The 13389-nt window shown below is 43.3% G+C and overlaps 1 protein-coding gene and 2 long non-coding RNA genes across 3 annotated transcripts in view, besides 5 other annotated features; 2 read left to right on the top strand and 1 right to left on the bottom strand.

The window, feature by feature from the left end:
* The window catches only part of DCTN6 (dynactin subunit 6), a 27271-nt gene extending 14791 nt beyond the window's left edge, over positions 1-12480 (bottom strand). The window contains exons 1-2 of the mRNA NM_006571.4: positions 12443-12480; positions 4674-4738 (exon numbers count right to left, since the gene is read on the bottom strand). Of these exons, the coding sequence (NP_006562.1) occupies positions 4674-4738; positions 12443-12465 (88 nt within the window). The 5' untranslated portion in view covers positions 12466-12480. The remainder of the gene's footprint in view (positions 1-4673; positions 4739-12442) is intronic.
* Positions 10739-11677, top strand: LOC124901927 (uncharacterized). Its single transcript, XR_007060880.1, has 2 exons — positions 10739-10825; positions 10967-11677. It is a non-coding gene; the product is annotated as an uncharacterized LOC124901927 (long non-coding RNA).
* Positions 12110-12219: a silencer, noted in NCBI's record as "silent region_19076". NCBI's record gives its function as "represses an Ori minimal core promoter by ATAC-STARR-seq in GM12878 lymphoblastoid cells {active_cell/tissue: GM12878}" and the evidence as "EXISTENCE:reporter gene assay evidence [ECO:0000049][PMID:35858748]".
* Positions 12189-13020, top strand: DCTN6-DT (DCTN6 divergent transcript). The gene has a single exon (NR_186490.1). It is a non-coding gene; the product is annotated as a DCTN6 divergent transcript (long non-coding RNA).
* Positions 12280-12429: an enhancer, noted in NCBI's record as "active region_27211". NCBI's record gives its function as "activates an Ori minimal core promoter by ATAC-STARR-seq in GM12878 lymphoblastoid cells {active_cell/tissue: GM12878}" and the evidence as "EXISTENCE:reporter gene assay evidence [ECO:0000049][PMID:35858748]".
* Positions 12280-13389: a biological region, named in NCBI's record as "NANOG-H3K27ac-H3K4me1 hESC enhancer GRCh37_chr8:30013010-30013992".
* Positions 12373-13355: an enhancer, noted in NCBI's record as "NANOG-H3K27ac-H3K4me1 hESC enhancer chr8:30013010-30013992 (GRCh37/hg19 assembly coordinates)". NCBI's record gives its function as "activates a minimal SCP1, AML or CMV promoter by ChIP-STARR-seq in naive H9 embryonic stem cells {active_cell/tissue: H9 hESC(naive)}" and the evidence as "EXISTENCE:reporter gene assay evidence [ECO:0000049][PMID:30033119]".
* Positions 13180-13389: an enhancer, noted in NCBI's record as "active region_27210". NCBI's record gives its function as "activates an Ori minimal core promoter by ATAC-STARR-seq in GM12878 lymphoblastoid cells {active_cell/tissue: GM12878}" and the evidence as "EXISTENCE:reporter gene assay evidence [ECO:0000049][PMID:35858748]".

Here is a 13389-nt window from a genome sequence, read left to right as displayed (position 1 = left end):
GGCTGTTACTTTTCCCAAGCTCTGTCTCTGAACAGCCTTGAATAAGGGGGTCAGGCTCCAGCAGAGCTTCAAGTCATAGGGTTTCTGGTTAAGGACCATACTTCCAAGCATCCAGCTAGTTTCTCTGAAAAAACAAATACCTGCTTTTCTAGGAAAACAGATCGGGTTTAAAGTTCCATTAGCCTGAAACTTAGCAAAGGAAAACATTACTTTCTTCCTGAAATATTTCAGAATGGAATAATTTGTAAAAGTATACATGACTAGAAGATGGAAAATTACACAAAACATCCTGAAAAAAATCTATGAATTAAACAACAGTTTATTGCTACTTAACTCAGATAAACTAAGTAAAAACAACAATAAAAGCCCTAAAATGAAAAATAAAGCAGGGTGGGGAGAGTTGTAATCAGATGACTTATCTCCACTCTTTGCTTTTATAATTGTATCTCCCAGGAGCTTTTTAATCTGATGCATTACATCAGAAAAATGAATTAATAGAAGCCAAAAGACTTGAGACATTTTATACCAAATATAACAATGACAAAAATGATTATCTAATTACTAATTCTGAAAAATTCCCATATTATACAGTTGAAGATAAGAAACATACATAACAAAAATGAGACAAGAATTGTAGAAGACAGAACCATGGGTAACTATATAACTCTTCTGAACCTTCATTTTTCCTCATATTTTCCTTAACTTTTAAAATTGAGTTTTTCTCCTCAGTATTTGAGCAAAAATTTTCTTGTTTAGAAACACTGGGTCAAAGTAAATATAACAAGTATTCACTTGGAGGCTGTCTGCTGTGATAAACTTTAAATCGCTAGAGATTTCTTTCCTTAAAAATGTATTACCACTTCTTATGTTATAATCTGTGCTAACTTTGGGAGGCCGAGGAGGGTGGATCATTTGAGGTTAGGAGTTTGAGATCAGCCTGACCAACATGGTGAAACCCTGTCTCTACTAAAAATACAAAAAAATTAGCCAAGTGTGGTGGCACATGCCTGTAATTCTGGCTACTTGGGAGGCTGAGACACAAGAATCGCTTGAACCCAGGAGGTGAAGGTTGCAGTGAGCTGAGATCATACCACTGCACTCCAGCCTGGGCAAGACAGCGAGACTCTGTCTCAAAAAGAAAGAAAGAAAGAAAGAAAATCTGTGTTAAAATGTCATTTTAACCATCAGAATTGTGCACTACCAGCTAGTGGTCAAAAACTAGCTGAAGGGCCAAGAGCAATGACTCACACCTGTAATCCCAGCACTTTAGTAGGCCAAGGCAGGAGGATCAACTGAGGCCAGGAGTTTGAGATCAGCCTGGGCAAAAATACAAAAATTAGCCAGGTGTGGTGGTGCGTCACTGTAGACCTAGCTACTTGGGAGGCTGAGGTGGGAGAATCACTTGAGTGCAGGGGTTCGACACTGTAGTGAGCCATGATCACACTGGTGCGCTCCAGCCTGCCCAACAGAACAAGACCTTGGTTCTAAACAAACAAACAAACTAAAAGGAAAGTAGATTTAAACAATGCACTTCCTTATGTAATTTTTTTTTTTTGAGACAGGGTCTCACACTGTCATCCAGGCTGGAGTACAGTGGTGCAATTATAGCTCACTGAGCCCTCTCAAGTAGCTGGGACTACAGGCATGCGCCACCACATGCAGCTAATTTTTCCCTTCCTACCTCCCTCCCTTCCTTCTGCTAATTTTTCTTTTTTCTCCTTCCTTCCTTCCCTTTCTCTTTCTCTTCCTTTCCTTTCTTCTTTCCTTCTTTCTCTTTCCGTCTCTCTCCCTTCCTTCCTTTCCTCCCTCCCTCCCTTTCCTCTCCTTCTTTCTGTCTCTTTTCCTTCCTTCCTTTCCTTCCTCCCTTCCTTCCTTTCTTCCCTTCCTCCCTCCCTTCCTCTCTCTCTCTTTTTGTCTTTCTTTCTGGTCCCACTATATTTTCCACACTCGTCTTGAACTCTTGAGCTAAAGTGATCCTCCCAACCTCAGCCTCCCAAAGTGCTAGGATTATAGCCATGAGCCACGGCATCCAGCCTGTACTTCCTTAAATAATTTCAACATGTAGGGAAGGTAGGAACATAAGAGGGTTAAAGATGGGGGAGGACCACAATGTAGTGAAAACCAGAGAGAGAAACAGGAAAGTGAATACTGATCCCTGATACCCCTAAAACTCAGTCCTAGGCAGTGGTCCACCAATCACTGGCAGCTACCTTCCTTGCACAGGATAATGCCTTTACAGCCCAGAAAAGCTTCTGCAAAAGATGTTATTTCAAATCTGAAATACATACCCCCCCCACCACATAATGCCTGTGTATATTTATGCCTGCAGATGTATCTATACTATCTACATACCTATCTTATAGTAGACATTATATACTTATTTAAAATGGGGTTGTTGTTGGGCCAGGTGTGATGGCTCACTCCTGTAATCCCAACACTTTGGGAAGCTGAGGCAGGAGGATCGCTTGAGCCCAGGAGTTTAAGACTAGCTTGGCAAAATAGCGAGACCCTGTCTCAAAAAAAAAAAAAGAAAGAAAAAAAAAACCAAAACGGGGTTGTTGTAACATTGGGGGATTTAAAAAAAAAAGAAAAGAAAAAATGTAAAATGGGGAAGAAGTAGAAATGCCAGGGAAAATCTACATAATTAATTACATCACTTCAGTCTTACTTTCCTTCTAACTGAAGAATGCATTGCAAACTACTATAAGGTATTATTCCTAGAATATCATGATGATAGCCACAATTATAATGCAGTAAAATGATGAGTAAAAAGAACACAGAGGAGCATTTTGATAAATATGTGGTCCCAGTCTGCAGTAGAGATTGTAAAAAATTAAAAAACATAACTTTCCTCATTTTGCTTCATAAACACTTCGCAAGTGGTTTAGGTAATACAAAAGACAAAGAGTTACCACGGCACTGAAAAGAAATAATTAAATCAACCAACCTGGCAAATTCTTTTTTCTTTTTTCTTTTTTTTTTTTTCTGAGAAGGAGTTTCGCTCTTGTTGCCCAGGCTGGAGTGCAACGGCGCGATCTCGGCTCACCGCAACCTCTGCCTCCCAGGTTCAAGCAATTGTCCTGCCTCAGCCTCCCGAGTAGCTGGGATTACAGGCATGCACCACCATGCCCAGCTAATTTTGTATTTTTAGTAGTGACGGGGTTTCTCCATGTTGAGGCTGGTCTTGAACTCCTGACCTCATGTGATCCGCCCGCCTCAGCCTCACAAAGTGCTGGGATTACAGGCGTGAGCCACCGTGCCCGTCCTAACCTGGCAAATTCTTAACAATGTTCCATAATACTGGCACAATCTCCACTGGTTTTATAAGACAAGATGCCTAAATTGTTTGGAGGCTTAGATTTTTTTTTGGAAAAAAAAAATGACGTTACAGGGTTTTTTTTTTTTTCATTAAAGAAACTGTTCATTTAAGGAAATAAAGTGTATTTCCTCTCTGAAAGTGTAATAGTTCACTGAACACTTTAGTCTGGTAGCATACAGGTGACATGCGGCTGCTGGTAAGAATGAGCTCACACCAATAAAACTACAAGGGCACCATATCCAGGTAAACCCCAGTTAAAAGAACAGAGTAAAATGTTTGAGGAACTTAGTCAAGTTCACGTAAGTAAAATGTTGGACTTGAACTCTGGCAAGGCTACACTGAGAAGATCTGACAGCGTTAACAGCAAATATTTATTGACAGCTTACTACTCACAATTTTCATGTTTTCTTTCAAGAAACCTAGGAGGTAGATACTACTATTTTGCATGTTATGAAAATTGCTCATTGCCATCCAATATCTCTTCTCCTCTTTTTCCTTGTAATAGAACCCTGATCTCATTAGCGGCTGCAATGCAACCAGCTAAGACTACAACTCCCAAACTCCCTTGCAGCTTGATGTGTCCATGAGATTGTCTTAGCCATGAGACACACAGAGGAGGGTCGTGTGGAACTTTCAGGAAGGCTGTTTAAAGGGAGCTGACTCACAGCTGGAACACATGCCCTTTTGCTTCCACGCCTCCCCTTTCTCATCCAAGATGATGCTTGGTGCTCTAGCCATCACTTCCTGGCCTGCAGGGCCGGAGCTCCATGCTGGACAATCAACCGATCAGCCCTCCATTACTCACCTTGAAACTTTTTATATGAGAGAATAAACCTCTGCAGGTGTAAGCCACCCCTACATGCAGCCGAACCTGATCCTGATACACACAATTATATAGATGGGAAAAACATCAAGGTTAGAGAGGTTAAGTAATATGTTCAAAGTAACCCAGCAAGAAAGGAGCAAGGAGCAGAGTAGCCCAGGTCTGTTGACTCCATGGCCCACGCTCTCCACGAAGCTCCACAAAGGCAGCACCTTTGTCTGCTGTGCTTACTGACGTGTCTCTAGCACTAGCACAGTGCCTGGCACATCGCAGGTACACAACAGATCTCTCTTAAATACATGAATGACTTTGTTATACAGCCTCATTAGTATTTCAGATAGGAGTTTAAACACAGCCTCCATCACACTACATTCTTTCAGAAATTTAAACACATAGGAGAAAATGCATTATTTTGTCAATAAAACTAGGACATCAGTGAAATAAACATGGAAGACGGTATCTAATTGTAAAGCACTAAAATAGATTAAATCACATCAATTCTTGAAAAACAGTAAATAAACTATTTCTTACCGATAGTTACATCTCCTCTGATTTCACTTTCTACACATACAACTGCTCCAGGAGCAATCTTCACACTGTAGCAAGAAAAAGGTAACATTTACCAGGGGTAAGATTAAACATACTGTTGGAGGAGCTACCGTGACATTGTAATGAAAACAAGGTTTAAAAAATGATGGAAAAAAAGGCCAGGCGCAGTGGCTCACGCCTGTAATCCTAGCACTTTGGGAGGCCGAGGTGGGGGGATCACCTGAGGTCAGGAGTTCGACACCAGCCTTACCAACATGAAGAAACCCCATCTCTACTAAAAATACAAAACTAGCCAGGCGTGGTGGCGAGCACCTGTAATCCCAGCTACTTGGGAGGCTGAGGCAGGAGAATCACTTGAACTCGGGAGACAGAGTTTGCAGTGAGCCGAGATCGCGCCATTGCACTCAAGCATGGGCAACAAGAGTGAAACTCTGTCTCAGGAAAAAAAAAAAAAAAAAGATGGAAAAATGGAAAGTCAATGGTAAGAGGGTAAGGTTTTAATACATTATAAATTTTTCAATTGGTATATTGTCCATCATCCCAAATCACATGTGCTAAAACACTTGAGAAGAGTTTTGAATCTTTTCTTTTAATAGCAGCACGTTTCTAAACAACAAAAAGCTGAAAACAACCTAGATATTCATCAGTGGAAGATTAGTTAATAAATTATGGCACATTATGGACTATTACATGGCCATCAAAAAGAATGAATAATCTCTTGTCAAGATTTTGGAATGGCTGAGCACAGTGGCTCACACCTGTAATCCCAGCACTCTGGGAGGCCAAGGAAGGAGAACTGCTTAAGCCCAGGAATTCAAGACCAGCCTGGGCAACATAGTGAGACCTCATCTTTTTTTTTTGAGACAGAGTTTCACTCTTGTTGCCCAGGCTGGAGTGCAATGGCACCATCTCGGCTCACTGCAACCTCTGCCTCCCAGGTTCAAGCAACTCTCCTGCCTCAGCCTCCCTAGTAGCTGGGATTACAGGCATGTGCCACCACACCTGGCTAATTTTGTATTTTTAGTAGAGACGGGGTTTTTTCAGGTTGGTGAGGCTGGTCTCGAACTCCCGACCTCAGGTGATCCACCCACCTCAGCCTCCCAAAGTGCTGAGATTACAGGCATAAGCCACCGTGCCCGGCGACCTCATCTCTTAAAAAAAAAAATATGGAATGATCTCCAAGCTATATTGTTAAAAGTAAAAAAGAGTGAAGTGAGAAAATGGACAGTATGTAATATGCCATTATTTTTGTAAAGGTAGGAAGAAAAAATATACATTCAAACTATTTAACAACCAGCAAGGTAATACTAACTTAGAAATTTAAAATTTACAAATGTTTCTGTTTACTCTCATATATATATATACATACACATATATGAGAAACTTTTTACCAAGTAATATAAATTGTAGTACAAATTCTTCAAAAGACTCTAATAATTTCCATATAACTTATTGATGCTTTTTTATATTCTGCTGTTATCTTTTGTTTGACAAAGCTGTATGTAAACACTGACCCTAGCTGAACCATGAGCTGACATGAGGAAGTACATCAAATGACTTCTCCATTACAGTGATAGTTATTAGGAAACTTCTTTTCATTAATAAAAGAATTTTTCTAAATGGCAATGACATTCATGGTGTTAAATCTGCTCTCAGCTACTATGAAATAACACTAACATTTTAGATATTTTGTCTTTGTAATTTTGTTTGGATTTTTCAAAATTTTGATTTCCAATTGTCACAGTATACAGAAATACAATAGTTTTGGGCTGGGCATGGTGGCTCACACCTGTAATCCCAGGACTTTGGGAGGCCAAGGTGGGTGGATCACTTGAGGTCAGGAGTTTGAGACCAACCAGCCTGGCCAACATGGCAAAACCCCGTCTCTACTAAAAATACAAAAATTAGCCGGGCATGGTGGTGGCCTGTAGTCCCAGCTACTGGGGAGGCTGAGGCAGGAGAATGGCATGAACCCAGGAGGCGGAGCTTGCAGTGAGCCGAGGTAGCGCCACTGCACTCCAGCCTGGGTGACTGAGCGAGACTCCATCTCGAAAAGAAAAGAAAAGAAAGGTGTAAATGTTTGTGCAAGAATGCTTATGTAAAAATATTAAGGCTGGGCGTGGTGGCTCACACCTGTAATCCCAGCACTTTGGGAGGCCAAGGCTGGCGGATTGCGAGGTCAGGAGATCGAGACCATCCTGGCTAGCACGGTGAAACCCCGTCTCTACTAAAAATACAAAAAATTAGCCGGGCGTGGTGGTGGGCGCCTGTAGTCCCAGCTACTTGGGAGGCTGAGGCAGGAGAGTGGTGTGAACCCAGGAGGTGGAGCTTGCAGTGAACCAAGACTACGCCACTGCACTCCAGCCTGGGCGACAGAGTGAGACTCTGTCTCAAAAAAAAAAAAAAAAATTAAAACACAATTTTATCTATTCTATCTATTTTTAAATACCATATGCATACATCTAAGCAAAGACTGGTAAGTAACAAAGTAAAAACCTCTTCCCCCCTCCCAGGTTGGACATCACTGAATGAGAAGAAGCACAAAAATCATGAAGAGAAAGGGAGCAGGTAAGGCTGGGAGGAAAAGCAGGATCAGCCCATGAATAAGCTTGTACACCATGACCAGGGATTTGAATTTGCACCTGTAGGCAAGAAGTCACTGAAGGATTCCTATTCCCAAGCCAACAATGTCACCAAATGGTATGCAGATAATTGACACTTGTATGAAGAAGTACTTGGTGGTGGGGGGGGTCAGGGAGGCAGTTGGTCTAATCCTACAGAGATAATGCAGGCCTGAAATGCTGTATTAGTCCATTTTCACACTGCTCTACAGAACTTCCCTGAGAATGGGTAATTTATAAAGGAAAGAGGTTTAATTGACTCACAGTTCCACATGACTGGGGAGGCCTCAGGAAACTTACAATCATGGCGGAAGGTAAAGGGGAAGCAGACACCTTCTTCACAAGGCAGCAGGACAGAGAGACAGTGTGAGCGCAGGAAAAACTACCATTTATAAAACCATCAGGTTTCACAAGAACAGCATGGGGGAACCACTCCCATAATCCAATCACTTGGATTACGGGTCCCTCCCTCAACAGGTGGGCATTATAATTCAAGATGAGATATGATGGGGACACAGGGCCAAACCATATCAAATGCACTGGTAGCACATAGGAGAAGCTGCAGGTATGTCTAGGAAATAGAAACAAGACTTGGCAACAAACACATTTAATAAAAATCTGGTTTCTAGGCAACGTTGAAGGTAGGTATTTCCCATTCCTTGTTACAGGCCCCATGGACCACAAAGTGCATACAGTCGCATCCCTCAGTACCCAGTATCTGTGGGAGATTGGTTCCAGGACCAGTCCTCAGATGTTCAAGTCTCTGATATAAAATGCTGCAGTGTTTGCATAAAACCTATACACATCTTCTCATACTTTGTCATTTCTAGATAATTTACAATACCTAATACAATGTAAATGCTATGTAAATAATTATACTGTATTGTTTACAGACACAATTTTTTTTTCCTATTTTCGATCTGAGGTTGGTTGGATCCATGGATGTGGAACCCATGGATATAAAGAGCAAACTATATTTGCTTTCTTCTCTGTGCAGGGGAAGTAAGTTTGACTAGTGTATTGGTCTGTTCTCACACTGCTAATAGAGACATACCTGAGACTGGGTAATTTATAAAGGAAAGAGGTTTAATTGACTCACAGTTCAGCATGTTTGGGGAGGCCTCAGGAAACCTACAACCATGGCAGAAGGGGAAGCAAACACGTCCTTCTTCACATGGTGGCAGGGAAGAGAATGAGTGCCCAGTGAAGGGGGAAGCCCCTTATAAAACCATTAGATCTCATGAGAACTAATTCACTATCATGAGAACAGGATGGGGGAAACGGCTCCCATGATTCAATTATCTCCACCTGGTCCCTCCCACAACATGTGGGAATTATGGGAACTACATTTCAAAATGAGATTTGGGTGGGGACACAGCCAAACCATATCAACTACAGAAGGATGGGTGTGAGGGGCATGGAGTGAAATAAGGAAACTGGTGCCATCTTGTCCCCTTCCTGGGAAGGGATGATTCCTGATGGAGAGGGAAGCTCAAATTCCAGGGCTCAAAATCAGCTGCTGTGACTCTGCTTCACTTATGCCAGAAAAACAACCAAAACCAGCCTGGGTCACATGGTAAAACCCCATCTCTACAAAAAATACAAAAATTAGCTGGGTATGGTGGCTTACACCTGTACTCCCAGCTACTTGGGGGGCTGAGGCGGGAGGATCGCTTGAGCCCAGGAGGTAGAGGTTGCAGTGAGCTGAGATTGCACCACTGCACTCCAGCCTGGGTGATGGAGTGAAACCCTGTCTCAAAAAAAAAAAAAAAAGAAAACTAATCAAAAGTCTGGAGCTAGGGAGCAAGGTCAAAGCCTCTAGGTTTCTGATCTGGAAAACTAATGGCACCATCTGAGAATAGCCTATGGGAGGAGGGGTAGATTTTAGAGAAAAAAGTCATTTGGCTAAATTTTAGATAAACTCAGTCTGAGGTATCTATGGAATGGTCACCAGATATATCCAATAAGCGACTGAAAATACAGATTCTGAAGCTCATAAGAGAGTTCTAAAAATACAGCTCTGAGAGTCAGAAGGGTAAAGATTCTTTCATTAACATGTCTCTCCATCATTTCTATGCCAGAATCTTCCCCCCAAGTATTCCCTAATATACATGCAAAGTAAGATGAAAACTATTTTTAAGATTGTACCAACTTCCCTACTGGTGTGATGAACTAAAAAAAAAAGAAGACATACACAAATTTTTCTTCCACAAATTAGGGTGGACAAACCTTCACACCGCCATGAATTTTTAAAGCTCTAAGTAAACAAAAAAACATGTATCAAATAGAAAAAACTAATAATCCCTGAGTCTATCTTCAAGAAATGGTTTTGAGAATAGACACAGCTCCAGCTGTTTCCATCATTTTGTTAGGCTCTGACTTTTTATAAGGCGTAAGTCAATGAAATCCTACCAATGGTCCTTCTGGGTGATACAGCCTGTCAAGAGTCAATCTGGGCCAGGTGCAGTGGCTCACGCCTGTAATCCCACCACTTTGGGAGGCCGAGGTGGGCAGATTCCTTGAGGTCAGGAGTTCGAGATCAGCCTGGCCAACATGGTGAAACCCCATCTCTACTAAAAATACAAAAATTAGCCAGGTGTGGTGGTGGGTGCCTGTAGTCCCAGCTACTCTGGAGACTGAGGCAGGATGATCGCTTGAACCCAGGAGGCAAAGGTTGCAGTGAGCAGAGATTGTGCCACTGCACTCCAGCCTAGGCAACAGAGTGAGACTCCGTCTCAAAAAAAAAAAAAAAAAAAAAGGAACCAGGCATGGTGCAAAGCTTTCACTGCACTCCAGCCTGAGCGACTCTGTCTCACAAAAAAAAAAAAAAAAAAAGTCAATCTACTGAAATAACAGAAAATATGTAGCCCTCCTGCTGTATTGAAGAAGAAAGATTTTAGTAAGATTAGAAGAAAATCACCTGGTCTAACCCTCTCATATTATAGAAGAAAAAACTGAAATTCAGAGACTAGAAATTTCTTGGAGCAGAGTTCATTCCTGGGGCATCACTGTCCTGAAATCAGTCATCTGTCTTCTAGTTGAAAGTTTTCTGGAAACATCCTGTCACTCCAGATGTTTTTCCATGATAAATGAGCGACACTGTCCTTGAATGTATCACCAGCTGTAAATGTCATTTCTCTGATACTTTTCATTTAAAGTGGGTTTTTTTTGTTAAAATATGCAATTTTATTAAGCCCTGGTCAAATACATTAGCCTCTATAAAATGTCTCTTGTTTTAGACCTTATTTCTCATTGCAATTTTCCATTTCCTCAGCTTCCTTCTCATTATGAAAAGAGCATTATCTAACATTGAACTTGTCCTGGGCAACTGAGAGTAGGAGAGACTCACAAATGCCCCCTGCCTTCAGTTTTACGCCCAAGGGAGAGATCCCAGGTAATGCTTGCGTCACAATCAGCACACTTCTCAGTGGGGCAGGCCACTAGGCCAACTAAAACGTGGTCCCGATATCTCTGCAAGGACCCCTTGTATCTCGGAGTGGTGGGAGCAGAGAGGTGAGCCGGCAGATGGGAGGGCAAGACTTAACCTCAGATCTGTAAAAGTAACAAGTCAACAATACCTTAATCTTCACTGTAAGCTACTATCTACTGCTATCTACTGCACATAATATTTATAGTACATCTGTTCCTCTTTAGCTTATGAAAAAAGATTACAGAGTATCTACTTAAATGGAAGAAAAATCTACATTTTAATTTATGGCACCAGAAACAATGTCAGTTTTCTTTGTCAAAAATAGTCAGCAGAGGGAGCTCAACACTGCTGCTGTTCGAAATGGCTTTACTTATGCACTTGTCTCATCCCAGCCACCAACAGCCACCAACAGCCCCCAGCAATGAAGACTACCGGAGAAGAAGCCAAACTTCCTGTCCCCACATGTTTACAAAGGAGCTTGTCCACTCCACGCCTGGCAAAAAATGTCACAGTTCTAAGCTTATACACTATTGGTGGGAATATAAATTAGTTCATCTATTGAAAATAGTATGGTGATTTCTCAAAGGACTAAACACAAGTACCATTGGACCCAGCAATCCATATAGAGCTACCAATCCAAACGGAACTACCATTCGACCCAGGATCTACTCAAAGGAAACCATTGTATTAAAAAGACAACTGCACTCCTATGACTATCACTGTACTATTCACAATAGCAAAGTATGGAATCAACCTAAGTGTTCATCAACGGATGACTGGATAAAGGAAATGTGGTGTATCTATACGATGGAATACTACAGAGCCATCAAAAAGAAAGGAAACATGTCTTTTGCAACAACATGGATGGAACTGGAGGCCATTACCTTACGCGATAACTCAGAAATAAAATCAAATGCACATGTTCTCACTTTTAAGTGGGAGCTAAAATGAGTACACATAAACATAAAGAGGGAAATAACAGACACTGGGGACTCTAAAAGCAGCGAGGGTAGGAGGGGTTTGAGGGCTGAAAAATTACCCATCTGATACAATGTTCACTATTTGGGTGGTAAGTACACTAGAAGCCAACTTCACCATTACGCAATTTATCTATGCAACAAATCTGCGCAAGTACTCCTTGCATCTATATAATGTGTGTGTGTGTGTGTCACAGTTCAAGTCCAGGCGCGGCCCCCCTTTTGACAGCGACCGTAAATCCCTTTACACACCCCACCCTCCAGAGACAGGAAGGGCCTGGGGTGCGGCCAGCACTGGCGTGGGGGTCTCGCAACATGCAGCAGAGAATCCAGCGCCAAGCCGTGGGGTACAGCGGCGCCAAGCACCGCCGATTATGCGGGAGAAGGGAGCCGGCCTTCCCCAGGAAAAAGCTGACGTCACCCTCCCCTCACAGCCCCCCCCGCCCTCCCGGCCGGGAGACCCCCTCTGCGCAGGCGCATGTGGGGAGGGACGGCCAGACAGGAACAAAAACCTTCCAGGCAGCGACTCCGCGTCCCTTCTCAACCCTCCCCGCCCCCACTCCGTCGCCCCCTCCCTCAGTGGACGCCAGGTCTGGGCTTCAGGTACCTTCGGCCCGAATGCCCAGGATGAGACACCTTCTGAGTCGCCACCATTGGCGACCAGGAACAGGTTCCACCCCTACGGAAAGCTGAGAAAAGGCTTTTCTCAAGCAGCAAACCCACCTCTTTTGAGTCTTCTCCGCCATGGTACGGCCCCAATTGGAACGTAGATCGACACCACCGCCTGGGTAGAGCGATAATTCCACATGCGATTGGAGAGCCTGGCAGGGTTGGGGGAGGGGCGGAGCCGGGGTGGGGCGGGGACCCGGAAGCTTGCGACTCTTGTTTGCGTCGCGTCTGGGCGCACAGGACTGTACTTTTGGTAGCGGTGCGGGGCCGCCCGCGGACTTTAGCCCTGCATAGAGATGGGTAGACCCTAATTTGGAACAGCCATTGACTGGGCACAGGCCAGCACTTTGGGAGGCCGAGAGGCCGAGGCAGGAGGATCGCTTGAGGCCAGGAGTGCCAGACTGCGAGACTAGCCTGGGTAACATAGTGAGACCCTCTCTTCAAAAAAAAAAAAAAAAAAAAAAAAAAAAAGCCTGTCACGGTGGCCTGCGCCTGTACCCCAGCTACTCGAGAGGATCGCCTGAGCCCAGTGAAGCTGCAGCGAGCTGTGAGGATGCCACCGCACTCCGGCCTGGGCTAAAAAGCTAGATCGTGTCTCTGATAAAAGAATAAAAGCTGTTTATTGCAATCCAGTCCGCGTCATTATGCCCTCATTTTACCCACTCGCGTAGGCGTAATTACACCCTAAAGGTATTTCTCTGACCTCGCCGATGTCCTTTTCAGCCTGTCTTTCTCTACTCATTAGGGCTCCTTCTGGCCCTTTTCTCGCTCTATATGAGTGCATCCTTCCTATAGGTTAAGTGCCCTCTACCTGTTTGCTCTCTAATGAATGTCTCTGGTTCTGCCCTCTGTGCCGATCTTCACACCTGACATTCGGTTGACTAATTGACATCTCCGCTCAGAGTCGTATCGAACCTAAAACTTACAGAACATGACTTTCGATTAACACTGCCGTCCTCCCTGCAACCTGCTGCTTTTTTGATCCACACCATTTGCCTAGC

Source organism: Homo sapiens, chromosome 8 (genome assembly GCF_000001405.40).
Source record: "Homo sapiens chromosome 8, GRCh38.p14 Primary Assembly".
In the NCBI taxonomy this organism is placed as follows: Eukaryota; Metazoa; Chordata; class Mammalia; order Primates; family Hominidae; genus Homo; species Homo sapiens.
This window is presented reverse-complemented; position numbering and strand designations above follow the sequence as displayed.